This window comes from Homo sapiens, chromosome 22, assembly GCF_000001405.40.
Source record: "Homo sapiens chromosome 22, GRCh38.p14 Primary Assembly".
NCBI lineage: Eukaryota > Metazoa > Chordata > Mammalia > Primates > Hominidae > Homo > Homo sapiens.
Window position 1 is genome coordinate 17,771,625 of NC_000022.11, and position 19,345 is coordinate 17,790,969.

At 57.8% G+C, this 19,345-nt stretch overlaps 2 protein-coding genes and 1 long non-coding RNA gene across 9 annotated transcripts in view, besides 14 other annotated features; 1 reads left to right on the forward strand and 2 right to left on the reverse strand.

Moving 5' to 3' along the window:
- The window catches only part of BID (BH3 interacting domain death agonist), a 40,528-nt gene extending 37,487 nt beyond the window's left edge, over positions 1-3,041 (reverse strand). For 3 of the 7 annotated variants that reach the window (NM_001244570.1, NM_197967.2, NM_001244569.1), the window contains exon 1: positions 2,757-2,871. Coding sequence is in view for 1 of the 7 variants with exons in the window: in NM_197966.3 (NP_932070.1) it covers positions 1,986-2,065 (80 nt within the window). In the remaining 6 variants the exon portion in view is untranslated. Of the gene's footprint in view, positions 1-1,985; positions 2,419-2,756; positions 2,872-3,015 lie in introns of those variants that run through there. The other 4 variants (NM_001196.4, NM_197966.3, NM_001244567.1 and 1 more) reach the window with 4 other exon arrangements.
- Positions 174-313: an enhancer, noted in NCBI's record as "active region_18632". NCBI's record gives its function as "activates an Ori minimal core promoter by ATAC-STARR-seq in GM12878 lymphoblastoid cells {active_cell/tissue: GM12878}" and the evidence as "EXISTENCE:reporter gene assay evidence [ECO:0000049][PMID:35858748]".
- Positions 2,354-2,683: a silencer, noted in NCBI's record as "silent region_13439". NCBI's record gives its function as "represses an Ori minimal core promoter by ATAC-STARR-seq in GM12878 lymphoblastoid cells {active_cell/tissue: GM12878}" and the evidence as "EXISTENCE:reporter gene assay evidence [ECO:0000049][PMID:35858748]".
- Positions 2,714-2,783: a silencer, noted in NCBI's record as "silent region_13440". NCBI's record gives its function as "represses an Ori minimal core promoter by ATAC-STARR-seq in GM12878 lymphoblastoid cells {active_cell/tissue: GM12878}" and the evidence as "EXISTENCE:reporter gene assay evidence [ECO:0000049][PMID:35858748]".
- Positions 2,804-2,853: a silencer, noted in NCBI's record as "silent region_13441". NCBI's record gives its function as "represses an Ori minimal core promoter by ATAC-STARR-seq in GM12878 lymphoblastoid cells {active_cell/tissue: GM12878}" and the evidence as "EXISTENCE:reporter gene assay evidence [ECO:0000049][PMID:35858748]".
- Positions 2,874-2,973: a silencer, noted in NCBI's record as "silent region_13442". NCBI's record gives its function as "represses an Ori minimal core promoter by ATAC-STARR-seq in GM12878 lymphoblastoid cells {active_cell/tissue: GM12878}" and the evidence as "EXISTENCE:reporter gene assay evidence [ECO:0000049][PMID:35858748]".
- LINC00528 (long intergenic non-protein coding RNA 528) lies at positions 5,666-7,857 on the forward strand. Its single transcript, NR_103718.1, has one exon. It is a non-coding gene; the product is annotated as a long intergenic non-protein coding RNA 528 (long non-coding RNA).
- Positions 5,701-6,180: an enhancer, noted in NCBI's record as "active region_18633". NCBI's record gives its function as "activates an Ori minimal core promoter by ATAC-STARR-seq in GM12878 lymphoblastoid cells {active_cell/tissue: GM12878}" and the evidence as "EXISTENCE:reporter gene assay evidence [ECO:0000049][PMID:35858748]".
- Positions 7,661-7,710: an enhancer, noted in NCBI's record as "active region_18634". NCBI's record gives its function as "activates an Ori minimal core promoter by ATAC-STARR-seq in GM12878 lymphoblastoid cells {active_cell/tissue: GM12878}" and the evidence as "EXISTENCE:reporter gene assay evidence [ECO:0000049][PMID:35858748]".
- Positions 7,978-8,885: an enhancer, noted in NCBI's record as "H3K4me1 hESC enhancer chr22:18262368-18263275 (GRCh37/hg19 assembly coordinates)". NCBI's record gives its function as "activates a minimal SCP1, AML or CMV promoter by ChIP-STARR-seq in naive H9 embryonic stem cells {active_cell/tissue: H9 hESC(naive)}" and the evidence as "EXISTENCE:reporter gene assay evidence [ECO:0000049][PMID:30033119]".
- Positions 9,556-10,569: an enhancer, noted in NCBI's record as "nonconserved acetylation island sequence 74". NCBI's record gives its function as "activates a minimal heat-shock promoter by reporter assays in Jurkat T cells {active_cell/tissue: Jurkat}" and the evidence as "EXISTENCE:reporter gene assay evidence [ECO:0000049][PMID:17135569]".
- Positions 9,931-10,380: an enhancer, noted in NCBI's record as "active region_18635". NCBI's record gives its function as "activates an Ori minimal core promoter by ATAC-STARR-seq in GM12878 lymphoblastoid cells {active_cell/tissue: GM12878}" and the evidence as "EXISTENCE:reporter gene assay evidence [ECO:0000049][PMID:35858748]".
- Positions 13,287-16,468: an enhancer, noted in NCBI's record as "VISTA enhancer hs2543". NCBI's record gives its function as "enhancer in: neural tube[4/6] | midbrain (mesencephalon)[4/6] | dorsal root ganglion[3/6] | forebrain[4/6]" and the evidence as "EXISTENCE:transgenic organism evidence [ECO:0001131][PMID:17130149]".
- Positions 13,629-13,738: an enhancer, noted in NCBI's record as "active region_18636". NCBI's record gives its function as "activates an Ori minimal core promoter by ATAC-STARR-seq in GM12878 lymphoblastoid cells {active_cell/tissue: GM12878}" and the evidence as "EXISTENCE:reporter gene assay evidence [ECO:0000049][PMID:35858748]".
- Positions 14,989-15,038: an enhancer, noted in NCBI's record as "active region_18637". NCBI's record gives its function as "activates an Ori minimal core promoter by ATAC-STARR-seq in GM12878 lymphoblastoid cells {active_cell/tissue: GM12878}" and the evidence as "EXISTENCE:reporter gene assay evidence [ECO:0000049][PMID:35858748]".
- MICAL3 (microtubule associated monooxygenase, calponin and LIM domain containing 3) overlaps positions 16,025-19,345 on the reverse strand; it is a 236,913-nt gene continuing 233,592 nt past the window's right edge. Inside the window, exon 32 of the mRNA NM_015241.3 lies at positions 16,025-19,292. Within this exon, the coding sequence (NP_056056.2) occupies positions 19,108-19,292 (185 nt within the window). The 3' untranslated portion in view covers positions 16,025-19,107. The remainder of the gene's footprint in view (positions 19,293-19,345) is intronic.
- Positions 16,897-17,109: a silencer, noted in NCBI's record as "fragment chr22:18271287-18271499 (GRCh37/hg19 assembly coordinates)". NCBI's record gives its function as "represses an EF-1alpha promoter that drives an FKBP-Casp9 reporter gene in an ReSE screen in K562 erythroleukemia cells {active_cell/tissue: K562}" and the evidence as "EXISTENCE:reporter gene assay evidence [ECO:0000049][PMID:32094911]".

Below are 19,345 nucleotides of genomic sequence, written 5' to 3' on the forward strand. Positions count from 1 at the left end.
AATCTGCAAGGCAGCAGCACCTCCAGAAATAGCTGCTTTGTGGCCTGTTTGCCATTTATGTGAAACTTCCCCATTTTGGACCAACGCAGGCAGAAAGAGAAAAGGAGGAAGAGGAAGGAAAAGAGGCAGGCTGTGTTGGGGCTGGATGGGGCTGTAGGAACCTGCCAGCAGTGGCTCTTGGGGAAAACCCCACTGCGAGGTTTCTGAACCCCTGCCCCGGAAGCTTCCCCTTTCCCACACACGTCACTCGCTGCCTTGGAATCTGGGCTGCCTCCCTCCCAGGGGCTCACAGGGGAGCGAGGCCACAGAAAGGCTCCTTACCCCCAGTGGCCTAACAGGTGTGACATGTGGAGGGGGAATCTGGGCAGTGTGCCTGATGCTCAGAGCTGAGACCCTGAAGTCCAACTCCCTCGGGTGTGACCTTGGACAAGTTACTTAGCCTCTCCTTGCCTCAGTTACACCATCTGGAGAATGGGGATGCTACCCTCGTCTGACCACCGTGATGTGAGCCAGTCAGCACACATCAAGTGCTCCGTGAGCGTCCGGCACACAGGTGCTTGTCTCTGTCCTGTGCTTCAGCTCCATCAGTGTCTTCTTCAGACCTGTCATTGGCTTGGGGCAAGGATATATGTGGCCGCTGAGGGCGGTCCGCCAGGTATGGCAGCCATGGAGCTGCTAATTAGGCCCTGTGAGTGGGAGGCCCTGTGGGGTGGGCAGGGGCAGACGCCCAGCTGCTCTCGGGGACACTCCAGGCCTGTGCTGCCCTCCACAGCCCCAGCTGGAGAATGGTGACCAGATGTCAACGACAGGAAGCATTTCCAGAGGCCACAGCTCTGCAGGGAGGTCTCTCATGGGCTGACAGCCAGAGCCAGCGCTCCGGGTCCCCTGAAAAAACGGGCACAGTCCTCGGTCACGTCGAGGACCTGCTCAGCCCCTCCACTTGGCACCGGAGAGAGGATGACTCACGGCCCTTCTGCCTGGAAGGCAGGCTCCAGTGTCAAATGTCCATCCGCCTCCATCACCCTCATCCATCCTTGTCAGTCCAGGGGCCTGGGCACTGCTGGGGCTCCTGGGCAGACAGTTCCCCCTTGCAAATGAGTGGGACCCTCAGCTCCTTCGATCAGCATCCTCACGTCAGCCGAGCCTGTGAGCACCCCTAAGCAAGGCCTCTGAGCTGGGCATGCGACACCCCTTCCCACCCAGGCACCCTCCCCCTAGAATCCCCCATACCACCCTGGGGCCATGCCCCGCTTCCCTCTCTGGCAAGCTCCTGCACAACCTTGAGACCACCTGACAGCCACCGTCTATCCTGCCCAACCTCCTCAGAAGCACTAACAGCACCTCGCCCCAGCCACGGCAGGTCTCTGCACCCCTCGTCTCAGTCACCACTCTCACATCTCATGAACAGAGACACGAGCTGCTTCCTCATGCTCCCTGTGCCCGTCCTGGGAGATCCCTGCCTTTAAACCCCAGCCACGAACTGCTGACCCCGCATTTCCTCTTCCCTCCCTGGGCAAGAGGGGCAGAAGGGGCAGGGACGCACACCCTGGGCCGCAGGCAGAGGCTTGGCCAGGGTCGTCCTCCCGGCAGTGCCTCCCTGGAGCTCTGTCTACCTCAACTCCTGATGCCAGAGGATCCCTCTGCGCTCCCCACACCCTTAAGACCCCAGCTCAGGGAATCTGGTCTCGGTCATCACTCCCAGGGGACTGCAGGGCCCCAGGACGGCACACATTCAGGCCCAGGAGAGCTCCCCCCATCTCAAAGCCTCCTGTGGGTGGAGATGGAATGTGGAAAAACCGCATCCTCTGCAGCTCCCCCACAGTGAGAGCGAGGACTGAGGGTGTGGATAAGGCTCCAGGAAGGGGGTGCAAGCCTGAGAAGGTGGAAGAGCTCTGGGTGGGTCCATCTGCTCCTCACCTGCCCCAACCCTGCCTGCAGGTGAAGGCCGGTCCAGCCGCAGAAGGCCCAGCCCCCAGCCCACTTACAGAATCCGCACTGTGCTCCTCCAGCCGGCCCGGCCCCTCGCTGCCCACCGAGCCATCATGACCCCAGCACCGCTGCACATTCGTATTTGTTGAATGAATGAATGAACCCTTGCCAGCCCAGCCACTTGGTGGCTGAGGGCTTCAGAGCTCTCCCAGGGTCCCCTGGGGTCATTCAGCCACTCAACAGTTTCCCAGCAGCAGCAGCGAGGATCCGCACATCATTGCCAGTGCTCTAAGGAGCGGGCGAGCCCCAGTAAGCGGCCGCTCTGACCGCGCTTTGTCAGCCCTGAGCTCCGCTCGGGAGGAGCCGGCAGGTGTCTGCGGTGCTGGAAAGACCACGGTGTGGGCGGGGATTCCGATCCGCCGGCAAGGGTGGCCTGCACCCGGCCAGGCCCGCGGGTTTTCTCCTCTCCGGGGCTGGCCTCGGCCCCTCCCCCTCCCCGCGCCCCGCACCCCTCCCCTGAATCCCCAGGCCACGTGGAGAGGACACAACAAAGCCTTCCCCGCCTCCGAGGCGGACCCGACCCTCAGCACCGACCTGCCGGCCGCGCCGAGGAGGGCGCCCGGGCGGAGGGGAGGCGGGAGAGACCCGGCCCTCAGGTCGCTGCTGAGGCCTGGGGCTCTGACCCCCCGCCTCCCCTCCTCTGGCTCCCACCGCGGTCGGGCCCAGGGCGGGCGGCGGGCCCTGAGCTCCACGCCGGGGCAGGCGGCAGGCAGGGGTCACGGGCTGGGGCTCGGCGCGTACCCCGGGAGGGGCGCGGGTGCACTCACCACCCTCCAGCCGCGGGGGCGCGGGCGCGTCCGGGCCGAGGCAGCGTCTCCCAGGCGCGCGGACACGGTCGACTACCCGCTTCCTCCTTATGGCGCCCCGCGCGCTTCCTCCTTCGGCCCCCCACGCCCGGGCCCGCCCCGGCCCGCCCCGGCCCGCCCCCGGCGGCTTGCGGGGACCCGGGGAGCCCGCGCCGGCGCGGGGCTGTGGAGCGGGGCGGGGAGCCGGCAGCGCAGTGAGAACCAGGCTTTCCACCCTTACCCCTTACGCGACTGTTTCAGACAGTGTCGTCCAACTTTAAGTTGGCCACTTACTCCAGCGCCGCTGGGATAATTCCTAATGATTCTCTGGGAAACATTCAGAATCCCCAGGCTGTTTCTGGAACAGTCTGGGGTGGTCATTCTAGGTCCTCACGGAACCAGGGGTTTGGAAAGTGGGTGAAGCCATGTGGGTTGCAGAGAATCTGGCCCAGCCCCTCACCAGTCCCTGTGCTTGTTGTTTATTCTTTAATTATTTGGATATCAACTCTGATTTAAAACATCAGTTTAACATATAGATAATGCTGGGACTACAGGCGCACACCACACCCAACTAATTTCTTTTTCAGTTTTTAGTGGAGGTGGTGGGGGGGGGGTCTCCACCTCTGGAGGTCTCAGGCTGGTCTCGAACTCCTGGGCTCCAGCGATGCTTCCCACCTCGGCCTCCCAAGGTGCTGGAATGACAGGCCAGTCCATGCATCCCCGGATGCAGCTCTCACCGGCAGTGCTGCTGCAGAGCCCTTTGTGGGCGTCTTCACTTCTCTTGAGTGTGATACCTAGGAGTGGAAATGCGAATCATAGGGCTGGACGAGCTTCATGGTATTAAAAACTGCCTGCTTTCCAAGGTGATGCACACCGTTCGGCACTTCCACCAGCCCTGTTGGAGCGTCCAGTTGCTCTGCGCCCTCGCGTGGGCTCACTCCCTGAGCCCACTGTGGCTCCTCCAGACGCCCTCACTTCTACCCGGGCTCCCTAGACTCTTGCCTCTTTTATAAAAGGTCAGAGGATGTCACTCACGCTTTAACATCCTCTGAATAAAAGCCAAGTTCCTTTCAGTGGCCCGCAGAGTCCCACGCGACCTGCCCTGCTCTAAGCAAATCCTACCCTGTCCCTGTTCCTCCTCGGCAGCCCCATGGCCTCTGGCTTTCACCAGGCCTCACTTCATTTTCCTCCACAGCCAGCATCGCAGCATGACATACCACGGAGTCGTTTGTGTGTGTGTTGCCTACCTCCCCTCTCGGAATGTAGCCTCCACGAGGACAGGGGCTTGTTTCCTGCATGCTCTTCACTCGGGCTGGGCACTCTGGGGGGCTAACAAATGGAAGATCCTGTGAGCAGGGAAACCGTCAGATGGCATTAGGGGCCGGTGCCCTGCAGAAGACGAAAGGGAAACTTCATGGACTGAGGCCAGGTCATCTGCAGGGTGGTGTTCAAATTCATGGTACAATGTCAGCAGGCGCCCAGATGGGAAAAGAGAGGGACGTGCACCTGGGCACAAGAAGCTGCAGGGGCCCCTCCCAGGGCAGGCGAGAGCTTGGACAGTGGGGCACAGTGGGCAAGAGGCCAGTGGGGTGGCCTGAAGGCAGGAGGCTCCAGCAGCCTGGATGAGCAGTTGGATTTTATCCTCAGCACTGTGGGGGCCACTGGCCCTGTCATGCAGGGCAGGACCTGTACCAATTGGCCCCCACAGTCTCTGCCTCTCCTGTTGGCTTTTTGCAGGTCTCTCAAGTGCTTCTTACAGTCAGGGTAGAGCCTCCCCGCCTCAATCCTCCCTGTCCTGATCTGCTGCCTCTATGATGCTTTGGGCTTCAAAATCTGTCTGCAGTATTTGTAAAATGAGAGAGGGTGATGTTTCCTGCAAAACAACCACTTCAAAAAGAAAGGGGGGCGGGGTGCCAGAAAACAATTCAGGGGGTGACGGACTGGGGGGCTATGGAAGGGTCCAGGGAAATTCCGGGGATGATGGGATTCTTCTATACAGGGATTGTGGTGGATGCCACACAATTGTACACTTTTGTGAGAACTCTGCACGAAGAATGGTGAGTTTTACTGTATGTAAAATTATACCTTAATTAACAAATGAAACAATATACACATACATGAGAGAATGATGACTTTATTTTTTTTTTTGAAACAGGATCTAGCTCTGTCACCCATGCTGGAGTGCAGTGGTGTGATCACAGCTCACTGCAGCCTTGACCTCCCAGGCTCGAGTGATCCTCCTGCCTCAGCCTCCCAAGTATCTGGGACTGCAGGCATGCACCGCCACGCCTGGCTAATTTTTTAAAAATTTTTTTTAGACGGAGTCTGGCTGTGTCACCCATGCTGGAGTGCAATGGTGTGATTTCCGCTCACTGCAACTTCTGCCTCCCGGGTTCAAGTGATTCTCCAGCCTCAGCCTCCCAAGTAGCTGGGATTACAGGCACCCACCACCATGATTGGCTGGCTAATTTTTGTATTTTTAGTAGAGACGGGGTTTCACCATATTGGCCAGGCTGTTCTCGAACTCCTGACCTCAGGTGATCTGCCCGCCTCAGACTCCCAGAGTGCTGGGATTACAGGCGTGTGCCACCACACCTGGCCTTTTTTTTTTTTTTTTTTTTTTTTTTTTGGGACAGGGTCTTGCTATGTTCCCCAGGCTGGTCTTGAACTCCTGGGCTCAAGTAATCCTCCCACCTCGGCCTCCCAAAGTGCTGGGGTTACAGGCATGAACCACTGCACCCGACCTGAATGATGTTTTTGGCAATGAAAATGAAACACAAAATCCAGCAAGGTTTGACGGGGAAGGCGAGCTGGCGACCACATAGTCACAGTCGGCCTTTGCTTCCGCTTTATGCTGCAGTTTCTCACTGTCACTTCCTGCCACCGGGCTCGTCTTCCTGTGAAAATTCAGCCCCTCTTCCTCAGTTACCCCTTTGCAACAGAACGAGGCCGGCATTTTCTAAAGCGTCCTTGAGGAGTCCAGTTCCTAAAAGATTATTTCAGAGTCCACTGTTGTGGGCTGACTTGAATGCTCTCAAAATTCGTAAGTTGAAGCCCTGACCCCCAGGACCTCAGAACGTGACTGTGCTTGGACACAGGGACTTTCCAGAGGTGATTAAGGTGAAGTGAGGTCACTGGATGGCCCTCCTCCTATCTGACTGGTGTCCTGATGGGGACGCGGACACCCACACAGGAACGGACCCGGGGAGAACAACACATCGTCTCTGCGCCAGGGAGAGAGGCGTCCGGGGAACCCAGCCGTGCCCACGCATTTATCTCCGCCTTCCGGCTCAGAATTGTGAGGAAACCCGCTTCTGTTGTGCAAGTCCCGGGTCTGTGGTGCTCGGCCATGGCGCCCCCAGAACTGCATCCCCACCTTCTGCTCTGAGCCACCCATCCCCTCTGGAAGGGCTGAGCTTCTCTCCCTTTCCACCTTCTGTTCTGAGCCACCCGTCCCCTCCAGAAGGGCTGAGCTTCTCTCTCTTTCACTGCCTATGCTCTGGGAAACTTTCAGAATCCCCAGGCTGTTTCTGGAATAGTCTGGGATGGTCATTTTCGGTCCTCACAGAACCGGGGGTTTGGAAAGTAGGTGAAGCCATATGGGTTGCAGAGAATCTGGCCCAGCCCCTCACTAGTCCCTGTGCTTGTTAGTTATTCTTTAATTACTTGGATATCAACTCTGATTTAAAACATCAATTTAACATACAGATAATGCTGGGACTGCAGCTTCGCCAGGTGGCCTTCCTCTCCCGGTCTCGGGAGGCGTCACCCCCATCTTGTCCCCCCAAGATCAAGCGAAAAGGGCAAAGTTATCTTTTTTTTTTGCAAAATTCAAACCTTTCCCTCCTTCCCAGGTCTGGGTCACTTGCGACCCTCCTCTCAGGCTGCTTCTGACAGGCCCAAGTCACAGCCAACTTCAGGGGAGCTGTGTTGGATCCCTCCAAACTCCGGGAATGATGTGACCTCCCCGGCGCTCACCCTGGGCCTCTAGGTTAGACTCAGCCCAGACCCTGGCTCACAGGGAAGCAGAGCCCATGGCTGGCCTCCACCCGCTCAGACGCCCGCACACAGGCCAGGGGAGGGCTTGGGGGCAGCTCTGGGAGGGTCCCTGTTTGCGCTGTGGGTGTCCAAGGCTGGGTGTGCAGAGCTGAGGTTGCCACACACCTGAGGGACTCTCGCATAAGGATGGCGCAGGGCTGGAAGCTGGACTGAGACAGTGAATGAGACAGCGCTGCCGGCTCTCTCCGCGCCGTGGACTGGCTCCTAGGCAGTCTCACGAGCAAGTGTGCTGTTGCTCGTGCACGTGTGTTTTAACTGAGATGTGAGCTGGCGCGTTTTCTCCACCCGGCTCCATCTGCTGGGTCCCTCCACATTGCTGCGCGTGTGCCTCCAGTGCCATGGGGTCCCCACTGTGGGCAGCCCTGCATTTTGCCCAACTGCCTCCCAAACCATGGAACCCCAGTGACCTCCAACTTGCCGCCATGACGAGCCACTCTCATTCATATCCTCAAACACGGTGCTCTGAGCCCGAATGAGGGTTTCTTTAGAGAGATATCTGGGGACCAAACTGTAGGGACAGAGCTCCCGTCTAAGGTGGGCCTGTGGTGAGGTCTCCCCAGTGGTACACTTTAATCCCACAGCAGGGCTTGCAGGCCGCCCTGCTCCATCCCCACCAACACTGGGCAGGATCTAGCCTCCAAACCTTTGCCAGTCTAATAGTATAAAATGATAGCTCGGTGCTATTTTGGTTTTGCATTTCCATGGTGAACAATGAGTTTGAGAGTTTTTGTTCAAAAGTCCTTTGGGAGTTCGAGACCAGACTGGGCCACCAGGAGTTCAAGACCAGCCCGGGCAATTCAGTGAGATGTTCATCTCTACAAAAAATAAGAAAGATAAAAAATTAGCCAGGCATGTTTGTGTGTGCCTGTGGTCCCAGCTCCTCAGGAGGCTGAGGTGGGAGGATGGCTTGACCCCGGGAGGTGGAGGCTGCAGTGAGTTGTGATCGTGTCAGTGCACGGCTAGCCTGGGCAACAGAGTGAGACCCCGTTTCTAAAATAAAAATAAAAAACAAAAGAGAAAAGTCCTTTGGGTTTCGTCTTGGTATTACTCAGCAGAGGACAGAGGTGTCAGTTTCCATCCTCCGGCAAGCAGATGCTGAGACAAAGCTCGGTGGGAGGTGACACCCAAGAGGAAGGGGCGGGATTGGACAGGGACAGCCTTCAGATCACAATGGGGATCGGACCCCTGGGAGGGGAGAGAGGGAGGAAGAGAACTGGTCGGCTGTGAAGCAGATCTGATAGGGCCCTGCTGCGACACCAACAGCAGCTCAGGGCCAAGGATGCTGTTGCAGGAACAAGGGACAGACCCCCCATACCACTGGCTCAGTGCCTGGAGCACGTGGCCTCTGTGGCTGCAGCCCGAGGCTGTCGGCTGAGGCACTCCACACACCTGGAGAGCACGTTCTCTGTGGAAGGAGACTGCAGCATTCCCACGGCTCCAGAGCAGTAGTGGCGGCACCTGGAGAAAGAAGTCCACCACCTTCCTGATGGCGGACTCTTTCTGCAGGCTCGCTGCAGTAACAGACTGGGAGCTCCGGACCTGGCGTATTGCTAGCTCAGTCTGACGGGGTCCCGGCTTTCCTCTGAGGTTCTCCTCCCAAGAGTGCCGAGATTGATGCTGTCCCATCCAGCGTCTCCGCGGTCACCAGCTCTTCACATCCCTGGGTGAAGATGGGGAGACAGTGCGCGTAGCTTACTCCCGAGTGACTTGGGATAGAAGCCACGGCACAGAACTCTACAAGGGACACTGGTGCACTGAAGAGCAGGGTGCGGTTCTGACCAGAAGCATCTGTGCATCTGGAGGGCAGAGGGTGCGTGGGCACGGGGGTCTGGGCAGGCCTCCCAGGGCAGAGGTCAAGAGGAGGGCGGGAGGCCTCTAGCTTGGTGGTTAAGAGCTCAGCCTTCAGAGTTTGTTTTCTCAGCTCTATCCTTGACGAGCTTCGTGAGCTGTAACTGGCCAGGGGCTGCCCCCAGAAAAGCTGGCCTCCAGCTCCCCGCATCCTGAGGCCCCAGATCAAGTTTCTTGGGCCCCAATTTCCTGTCATCAAAGAGATGATAGTACATTCCTCAGAGGCGGGCTGTGAATACATGAAACGCAAGGTCTTAGGCACCCAGCATGCGCTCAGGAAGCGTGGCTTGTGATTACCCGGCAGTGCGGTGGGAGGCTCCTAGCAGCTGTGTGTGCTGTGAGTGGGGTGGCTGGGGTCCCTGTGGGAGGTGCTTCAGAGTGGGGGCTGGATGGCGGCTCCCGAGGGGCATGGGGAGAAAGACAGGAGCAGAGGGGCTGCCACGCACTGCCCTTTTCCCCTTCCACCCCAGTCCCCTTCTCAGTGCACCCTTGGAACTTCACCCCCTCCCTGCCAGCTGCCCCCACCGCCTTCCCCTGTCCTGAAGCCCCTGTCCCTACCATCCGCCCCAGACACTTCCATGCTCTTCTTGAGGGTGGGCTGTCTCCAGGTGCCGCTCATTCCCCGGCCGGGCTGCTGTGCTCTCACTGAAGCTCAGGTGCTCTCAGAAGCAGAAGGAATGAGGGGTGGAGGGGCCAGTGTCCTCCTGGCCTGAGGACAGGGCTGGGGAGGCAGGGGCAGAGGTGGCCTGTCCCCTGCTGGCCAGGGCTGACACGCGGTAATGGCTATTACCAAGTGGGCCATTTCTCCCTCCTGCCCCTCCAGGCATCTCATCCCCCCACACTGCAGGAGGTGAGGTCTGCACAAGGCCTCTGCTCCCCTGGGAATAAGCCCATGCGTTCCATGGTGCCTCCTAAGCCCCTGAACTGGAGCCCACCCCAGTACTGGCGGGGGCCTGATTGCTGGAGTGAAGGCTTCCTCCTTCCTGGCCACCCCATTCCCCTCATCTCTGGGACAGAAACCGACAATAAACGCCTGCCCGAGACCTGGGTTGGAAAAACAGAGTGAACACACACCATCACATGGCAGGAGGCCAGGTGCACAGAGCCCTCCCTGCAGTTAGTTCCCCAGGAACTGGGGCTGCAGGGATGGCCCAGAGCTCTCAGCCAACATCAAAGGGCCACAGCACCGGGGCTGGTGGCTCCTGGCCAAGTCAGCACCGACCACAGAGCTCCCCTCTCTGCCTAGACCCAGGGCTCTGCCCTGACAGCCTAGAGAAGGGCCTGGCTGGTGGTGCCTGGCTGGGTGGCTCCCTGCCTAGGAGGTGCTTTCCCCAAGCGCTGGGCCTTGAAGGGCCGGTGGGTTGTGAGGGCAAGAGTCTTGCTAGAGGAGAGGGGAGAGATGGCGAGATGCAGGACCAGAGCCTGGGGGGGTGAAAATCATGTTCACCCCCATGGTGAAATCACGGCCATGGTGAAGACCAGTCCCACCCACTGAGCGGAGGCAAGTAGACCCCAGGAATTCCCCAGCCCCGCTGCTGGGTGGGTGTGACCCTGCAGAAGCTCTGGGAGGCTGGCATGACTCAGCTGTTGCAGAAAGACCAGTCTGGGGTTTCCCATATTGCTTCAAGCAGCCTTTTCCCTGGGACTGCTCTATCTAATGCCAACAACCCTCAGCTGCTAGTGAGCCCTCGCCACCAACTTTCAGAGGGCTAACTCCTAAGGCCCAAGGGCTGGAAAACTCCAAGCACAGCCCTCCCAGAGTCTGGCTGTGGCTCAGAATGGGTGCTGGGGCAGGGCGAGCAGGATTTCCCAGAGGGAGCTGGGCCCTCTGGCGTCCGCCCCAGGGCTGGCCCAGCCCAGGGACCCCCATGATATCCTTCCTCTCACCCTGCCCTTTCTGAAGTGAACTCTTTGGATATTGGCCAAATCACACCCAGCAGAGGGAAGGGAGTGGAGGTCCCGGTGTGGGGGTCCCGGCGTGGGGTGGCTGTGCCCAGCTGGAATGTTTTGCATGGTGATTTGTTAGAGGGATATTGAGCAGAGGGCAAACCACCACTGTGTCTAGCATTCTGCTCAAAGGTGCAGAAACCAAGACTGCCACGTGCAGAGTGAACGGCCCAGGCTGTGGCCCCCCGGGGAGGGGCTGAGTCTCAGCACTGCAGCCTTATGCTGTGCGCAGTTCAGACCTGCGATAGGCGAGAGGCCAGCAGACACACGCCTCGCCTTACGTGACGTTTCTGCCATCTTCATTCCTGTGTTCGCTTCTGTACCAAATCTCCCCCACACACGATCTGACCCCGTGGCATCCTTCCTTTCCTACAAACTGCACTGAGACCCAGGTGTCATCGTGAAGTTCATGCCAGCCAGAGGAGCCACTGTGGCGTTTCCGGCCATAGGCCTGGGCAGGAGCCGCTCCCAGGCGTGCCGTGGGCAGGGCCGGGTCAGCCTTCAGGGAAGAGATGCCTGTATGGGACCAACTCAGGCAGCCACAGAGGGATGGCCCAGCACCCCACAAAACCCAAAGTGCTCAGCGTCTAGGATCTGTTTACGGGGCAGAGAAGTGGATGTTCTTTTCCTGGTTCAAAGGTAGAAACAGGCTTGGAGAGCCGCACCCGGCATCAGCCAGCCAGGCAGACGCCTGGTCTAGCGCTTGGTTCTCACAGGCATGTGGCCTCCAGTAAAAGATCTTCCTGGAGAGAGGGATGAAGGCTCTTGGGATCATCTTTAGAGGTGCTGATGGAGAAGCGGGGGGGGGGGGCCTTCAGGTGGGTGTGTATCCCTTTATCTAGAATGCTTGGGACCAGAGGTGTTTCAATTTTTCAGATTTTGGAATCTTTGCCGACATGATGCTCAAAGGAAATCCTGCATTAGGGAGTCTTAGCCTGTATCTCCGCTGGCGTGGAGGAAAAGGACAGGAAAGTTTTGAATGGCGGATCCACCCAGGGGACTTCCCTGGATGGGGCGCTGCCACCCCTGGGCCCTGTGTGGGAAAGCTTCAGTACTACACGGTGCCACCGGCTCCCAGCCCCAGCTGAGCTCACCGTCCAGCTCTCAAAGCCAAGGGCAATTCTTTGGCACCTGAAAATGCATCTAAAACTATGACGTTTATAGCTGCCTTAGCCCTACTTAATCTCTATTTCTCTACACCAAATCTCTCTACTGCATGTGCTTACGCCTACGTGCTCTGCTGCCATGGTGCCTTGCCAAGAGCGTGGCTGTGCTTTAGTTCTCCCCGGGGCCTTGGAGGACTCTCCAGGGAGGAGGAAAGGATGGTGCTAGGGGGAGGAGGCTGGGGGTGGACCTTGTTCTGATGCCCCTTGTCTCATGCACGAAGTTCTTCACCCTCCTCCAAACCTTGACCTGGTGGGAGCAGAGACTACCCCCTCCCTGGGGCCAGGGATAGGATGCTCATGCCTGGGAAGGCCAGCAAGCCTTCCCCGCTTACTCAAGGCTCTGCAGGGTTCTGGGGGCCGGTGCTGTCTTTGGTGCCATCCGATTGCTTCTGCTTGTGGGCCTCACCCTAGGGCTGTTCACCAAAGTCCTTCTTATCACAATCCTGGCTTGAAATAAGTGGGTTTCCAATTTTTTATCCCTGATCTTGCCTGGATCTTGATTCTGAGACTCCTCCCATCCCACCCTCTCCAACAGCAGAGACCCCTCCCATTAGCTGCACGCGATTGCTCCGAGATAACAAAGCATTGGCAGATGCTGGTGGAGCAGGCCTGCCCTTGACGTGGGCAAGAAGCTTGGGGAAAAAGACAATTTCCTGCTTGTCTTTTCTTGTCAAAATACATGGCCACACCAGGGGAAGGACAGGAAGAATTCTCTTACCAGCCAGCAGCGGCAACTTAGCAGCTACAGACACAGAGCGCAGGGGACGGGCGGGAATGACTGGCCATGGAGGAGCCGAGAGAGTCGGGACCTGCAGGAGCTGCCTGCTGAGGCGGTCTGGCTGGGCAGGTGGTCCCTGTGCTGGGGCCTCCGGGTGGAAGGCATCCCAGCCCCCCGAGGGAACAAGTTTGGTCCGAGATACATTTTTGAAAGGTATTTAATTCTCTAAAAACATTTTTAAAAGAAGTGAGACCCACTGGGGAAAGGGAGCTGCTGGCTGCCAGGTGCCTCTCTCTCCTTTTCTCCCGAGAAAGACCTGGCAGCCACTCTGCCGGGGAGACAACCGGGGGCTAGAGGGGCAGGCCCTGGGCCGGGCGCAGTGGCTCACGCCTGTAATCCCAGCACTCTGGGAGGCTGAGGTGGGCGGATCACCTGAGGTCGGGAGTTCGAGATCAGCCTGACCAACATGGAGAAACCGCATCTCTACTAAAAATACAAAATTAGCCGGGCATGGTGGCGTGTGCCTGTAATCCCAGCTACTCAGGAGGCTGAGGCAGGAGAATCACTTGAACTTGGGAGGCGGAGGTTGTGGTGAGCCGAGATCGCGCCATTGCACTCCAGCCTGGGCAACAAGAGCAAAACTCTGTCTCAAAAAAAAAAAAAAGAAAAAAGAAAAAAGAAAAGAAAGGCAGGCCCTGGACACTCATGGGGGCTGACCACTGAGAGGCTCCTCTCGCCTGCTGGGCCGGGTGCCTGTGGGTTGAGCAGCCCCTCAACGCTGACACTCCAGCACCCATCTGGACAAATCCCTCATCCTTGACGATGGCCTTGTGAAGACCCAGGGACCCGTGGCCTGTCCCTGGAGCTGCTGCTGGGACACCAGCTCTGACCTGCTGCCTGGGTGGAGGGGTGGCTGGGGCAATGGGGCCGGCTGAACCCTCTGGGAACACGGACTCCACGGGGGCCCAGCAAGTTCGTGAAACAGGGAGGCTGGCCTCGAGCTGCAGGGGGCTGCCTCCCGAGTCCTCCTAGGGTTCTCCCATCAGGAGGCATCTGTGCATCTACACGGGGCCCGACTCCGGAACCTCCAGCCTTCCCACGTGCTCCCCCATCCTAAGTTGGTCAGCAGTCCCAAGTCGGTGGGAGGAATGCGAGGCGCCGGCCGGGTGAGTGCTGTGACCAGGCTGACGTCGGGGGAAGAGACAGGAACACATCCCGCCAGGACACCGAGCTGGTGCTCACCTAACTTGTGCTCCCTGCCGCCCTCTTGTGGGTGGGCAGACACCAGCAGCTTCAGTCAGTCTCGTGTCACACAGCTGCGCGAGGTAGCTCCACACGCACCTACGCGTCTGGAGGATGCTATCCCTGGCTACTTTGGGGACCACTCAATACTGGCAGCCTCACCACGGTTCAGGTGTTGACTGTCCAGGGAGGCCCTCAGCCCCATCCACCTAGTCCTGAGCCACCCCACCCTGGCCCCACCCTGGGCCCCACGGCTGGAAACAGCCTGCTCCAGTACTGGATGTGCACTCTGTGGCTCGGACGCCGCGGGGGCATGAAAAGGGGCTGTGTGTGCAGCACAGGGACTGTCTTCCTCCTCCGTCCTGGCAGTAGGTGGCTTCTCTGGCAGTGTGGCTGTGGCACATGTGGCCTACCCACAGCAACTGGACTCCTCTGCCTTCCCCGGCAAAGCCCCCGCTGCAGGAAGACCTTGGGGCAGGGGGCACACGAAGAGGCTGCTGAAAAAGCTCCTGGTGAAGCTGAGCAGCCACAGGCTGTTGGGAGGGCCACGGGCCTGGTCTCATAGGCTCCTGTGCTGTGTGCGGCAGGAGGCTCCGGCCCCCGGCCAGTGTTTGGGTGGTATGGCCTCACCCTCCTCACTGGGCATCACTGGGGAGGTCATCCGAGCAGGGGACACGAAGAGGGGAGGGTCTAGCACGTGGGCCAGTGTGGCCAGCTTATAAAATGGAATAAAATGGCATGTCTTGTCCCTTCATTTTTGGCTGATTCTTAAGATGGGACTATGTGAGGATTCAGGGTTCAGGAGGGACTTTGGAGCTGTTAAAGATGTGGTGGTTCATGAAAGAAGAGCTTCTTGTTTTTTGTTTTAAAATAGTTTTTAAAATTTAAAAATGATAGAGCCTATACTTTTTTTTTTTTTTTTTTGACAGAGTCTCACTGTCACCCAGGGTGCAGTGGCACAATCTTGGCTCACTGCAACCTCCACCTCCCAGGTTCAAGCAATTCTCTTGCCTCAGGCTCTCCAGTGTGCCACCACACCCAGCTAATTTTTGTATTTTTAGTAGAGACGTGGTTTCGCCATATTGGCCAGGCTGGTCTTGAACTCCTGACCTCAGGTGACCCTCATGCCTCGGTCTCCAGAAGTGCTGGGATTACAGGCGTGCGCCACGGCGTGTGGCCTTTTTGTGTGCTTCTGACAGTGGCTCTGGCCTGGCCCAGCAGCCTTCCTTTCTGGTGTCCTCCCTAAAGCAATACTTATCATTTCCTGCCACCTGAGGTGGCTGTGAACTGCAGCCCAAGGCTGCCTGGTGCAGCTCTGACAAGCAAGCCCTTCTGAGGAACAAGAGCCTGGGGGTCAGGTGACTACCAAGCCCCATTTCCTTTCCCAACAGGCAAGTGACCCAGCTCTCCTTGTACGGGATGTCCTCTAGGGCCACAGGATATGCACTTTGAGCTGCTCATCCATTTTTGTCCTCTGTTCTACCTGACACGCCCACATTTGTCCCAGCCAGGCCTTTCTTTGTTCTGGAATAGCTGGGAACGCAGCTGGAAGGACTGGGAGCCAGCTTCCACTGAGTGGCTTCTAGCTGCCTGTAGGCGGTGTGGCTCACGTGCACAGAGCTGCTGCGGTCTTTCCCTCCCTGCATGGCGCCCCTGGATGGTCACAGGGTCAGCCGTGCTCCCAACAATGCAACACACCGAGGGAGGGGTTAGAGAGACAGCTGGGGCGTGCCTCGGAGGCTTCTTAGAACAAAGAAAGAGGAGCTGGCCAGGACTGTTCCCTGTAATCTCCTGGGGACAATTTTCAGGCTAACGAGCAGTGACCCTACGCACTGAATGACCTCGAGATCGTTGAAACATCTGAAAGGTTTAGGCGTGGGTGCTGCAGACCCCATGCCATGGACTCCCGGGTCAGCTGTGCTGCAGGACAGAGCCAGGCAGGGCTGGAAGGAGGGCTGCCAGGACCACAGCATCACCCTGACTCAGAGTATCTCCAATTCAAAGAGCACACTTCCCTTCCAGAAGCTACTGGGGCTTCGTCTGAAGAGTGGCTGCTTCTCAAACTTGGCTGCCTAAGACATTTACTCAAGTGACAGCAGTTGTGGCTGAGCCAGGATATTATGGAGGACTAAAAAAAAGCACGAACTTAAAAAAAACCATGTATTCTTTAAACCGTCTTGCACGCACCCAGGCACGAGCTAGATGCGTCATACCTTGCACCTACACCATCCACCTGAAAAATACAGTAAAATGACTTAAGAAACACACTATTTATTTGAAAAACTTTTATTTTGCATAAAACAGACCCATTCCCTTTGTGGGTCAGATGTTACCACCTTTAAAAAAATGTTTTTTAACTCTCCTTTCTGTCCCACTGAAAAATTTATTTTGAAAGGGTTAAGAAGAGTCTATCATTGCTGGTCAAAATCGGCCTGAGGATGGCCGCCAGGGACAGAGGCCTGAAGGCATCATCTGGGCAGGCCTGGAAGCCCACGGGGTGCAGCATCCTCAAGCCCAGGGGCGGGAGCGCCTCCGGCCTGCCCTCCAGGGAAGCTGCATGTGGACCTCCACGGTATTCAGCCTCCAGTTTAGTCAGCCTTGAGTCTGGGCTGCTCCCGCACCTGGTGTTTTATGCGTGTGATATATGTGTATCCATCCTGCTTCCCTGCCTTCAAGGGAAGACTTAACTCTCCGAGAGAAAACCTGCCTGGAGCTGCGCACATTCTCACAGCTTGAGAACGCTTGACGCAGGAAGTCACCAGAGTACTCAAGTCAACCGCAAACTAGTGGTTACAAAATGGGAGCTTTAAAAAAAGTGCTCTACTAGAACTGGGTGTCCTCACAGTCGGGAGCAGAAGGCTGGGGCGCAGGCCTGCGGCTCTGCGGCGCCTCTCTGCAAAGGCTCGGGTCCACCTTCCAGACTGCAGGCTGCCGTGTGTGCTGTGGAGGATGCCACAGTGTTAAGGCTGACCAGGACCAGAAGGTGACACTGGGCTCTCCTGCTACGTCTGGCCACTTACAGCAGATCCCTAGGCCACACTCCTTCCAAGCCACTTTGCAAACTGTTTCCCTGTTGTGGGGCCAGCAGGAGCTACAAGGGCCGAAGGCGGCTCTGCCGGGGCTGGACCGGTTTTGTGGCATTCGAGGAGAGGTCTGGGAAAGGCCACGCAGGCAGTGAAGGTCTTTTCCCACGTCCAATTTTATGGGACGACTGGGGTTTGAAGATGGAATCTAGAAACCCTCCTCTCCCCTTTTTTAAGTAAAGAGAAAAGAAAAGGAGACCTTTGCCTCACGTGAGAACAGGTGGAGAATCAGCGCTGTGGCGGCCACTAGCGGCGTTATCTCCCGGATGTGCATGGGAGAGAGATGGCAGCTTCTGGACAGACAAGGATGACACAGGTTCTTTGCTCCTTTGCAGCTGGGATGAATGTTCAAGTTGAAGCACAGTGTGGTTCCCATGGAAAGCCCAAGGTCAGCACAGCCACTCAGCCTGCTCCACTGCGGGACGCCTTGGAGGGGCCAGGCCTCTGCTCCCAGCTGGCCCCAGCCCACGGAGGCGGCAGGCGGCTGGAGCGCCCCTGGCAGGCGGGTCTGGTCCGGATGGCTCCTCGCTGGGCTATGTGCTGACTGCTTTGATGGACAAGCACCCCACCCCGATTAGCTCAGTGGCTTGATGAGCTGTACACAGCCAGGCTGGTGCGGAACCGTGAGAAAGGAACAGTTTGGCTATAGGAGCTAGTGATTCGGGGCTCGCCCTTTATGTCCCCATGAAGATCCGGCACAAGGCAGGTGCCCGTCGCCTTCGGAAGGAAGGGCGGGAGTCGCTGATCTGCTTGAGAGGCACCAGCCTGCATCCCAGCATCCACTGCAGCACTCGCGTTTCCGTCTGGGTGAATCTTAGGCTGGGAGGAGGGAATTCTCACCAGCCACATGATTCCAGGGTCCCACCTTGCACCCTCTTGGCCTGTGTGGATGAGGGCCCATCCTGAAACCTTCTTTAACATATGTGCGGAGGAAGGTGATGCCCTGGCCCCCAAACTGAGACAAGGGCGAGTTCTGCAGAGCCGGAATTCTCACTGGGAGGGTGAGAGTGGCAGCTCTGCTGTTGGCCTGGCCCAAAACAGAACGGAAATGCACCCTCATCACATGAGTGGTCCAGATGGTCTAGCGCCAGGGTGAGGCAGGCACCGGGTGGAGGAGGGGACAGAAAGCTGTGAGGAGGACCCACACAGGGGTTCTGGGCAGCTCCCTGATGCCAGCCAGGCCAGTGATACGAAGAGAAAGGCTAATAAATAGATGCACGTGAGGAGCACCGGGCAGCCCCGGACCAGGTCGCGTAGGACGCACCAGATGCCGCTGTGGCTCCCGCACCCGGGCGCAGGTGATCAGTTCCTCTAGTAAAGATACACAAACGAAGTTACTTCTTTTCAAGTATTAAAAAATAAGTTAATTGACAAAAAGGGTTTGAAGCGGCTGAGCGTCTTGCCAGGTTGTCAGCTTCATTTCAACGTGCAAACACAGGAAAAACACGGAGGAAAAGGTCATCTCCTGTCCCGACATAAATGTGGAACAGGGACAATGCCTGTCTGCCAACTGGGGGCTTAGAATGTAGGGCCTCATCCTGTCCCCCAAAGTCAGCATTTTCCAGTGTCAAAATGGTTGTGAACTACAAGCAAAATGCAGCAACCCACAAGCCTCAGGCCACAGCCAGCAAGCGGCCCAGGCATTTGGCCACTTAGGGTCCAGTGTGTGGTGTTCGGCTGGAGGGCAGACCCCTCCTGCGTCCTCCTAATTTGCATAATAATTCAGGAGCCTGCCCGCACCTCCATGTCTCCTGTGATGCTGGGGTGGGCATGACTGGACGCCCCCATCCTGGGTCTCGATCGCACCCTGACCCCTGACCCTGCTTTCGTGGGGTATTGTTTACGTTTCTTTGGTGGTGCTCCAGGGAGCATGAAGAAGACAGTGCCCCTCGCACGGCGCACTGTGGTTCTGACGGGGAGCAGCTTCCCTCTCTTACCAAATGTGCCAGTGGAAAAAAGGGGCACAGCCAGCACATCCTCAGGGAGCGCGCGGGGTGGTCCCCTGCGTCATGCCATACACGCCGTGCTGCTCCTCTGAGTGGGAGGTCCAGGTGGGCCTCCTCCCAGGAGGTGGAGCCGTCTCAGATAACCACTGTCACCTGGGGCTCCCCACTGCACGCGGGACTCGACCACTTTCCAAGCAGCACACGGGCATCTGAGCGTAAACTCCAAGGAGGTGCCAGGCCTCCTCAGATCGCGGCTCCGGGTGGTTTGGATGCCACTGCCTGGCCAGGCGGATGCCAACAGAAAATGGAGCGTTGGGTGGGAGCTCAGGACCAGTTAAGGCTGAAGCCCTTGGACAGCATGGCAGCCTCCAGGTCCTTGTCCTCCTCTCTCTCCCGGAGCCGCTGCTCCTCCAGCAGCGCCACCAGTGAGTCTCTCTGCTCCACCACCTCCAGCATCTCATTGAGAATCTGCTTCTCTTCTGACAGCTCCTCCTCAGTCTTAAGGTGATCTTGAAGGAGAAGAAGGCATGAGGTGAGGGGCCTGGAGGTGGCACCCACCCTG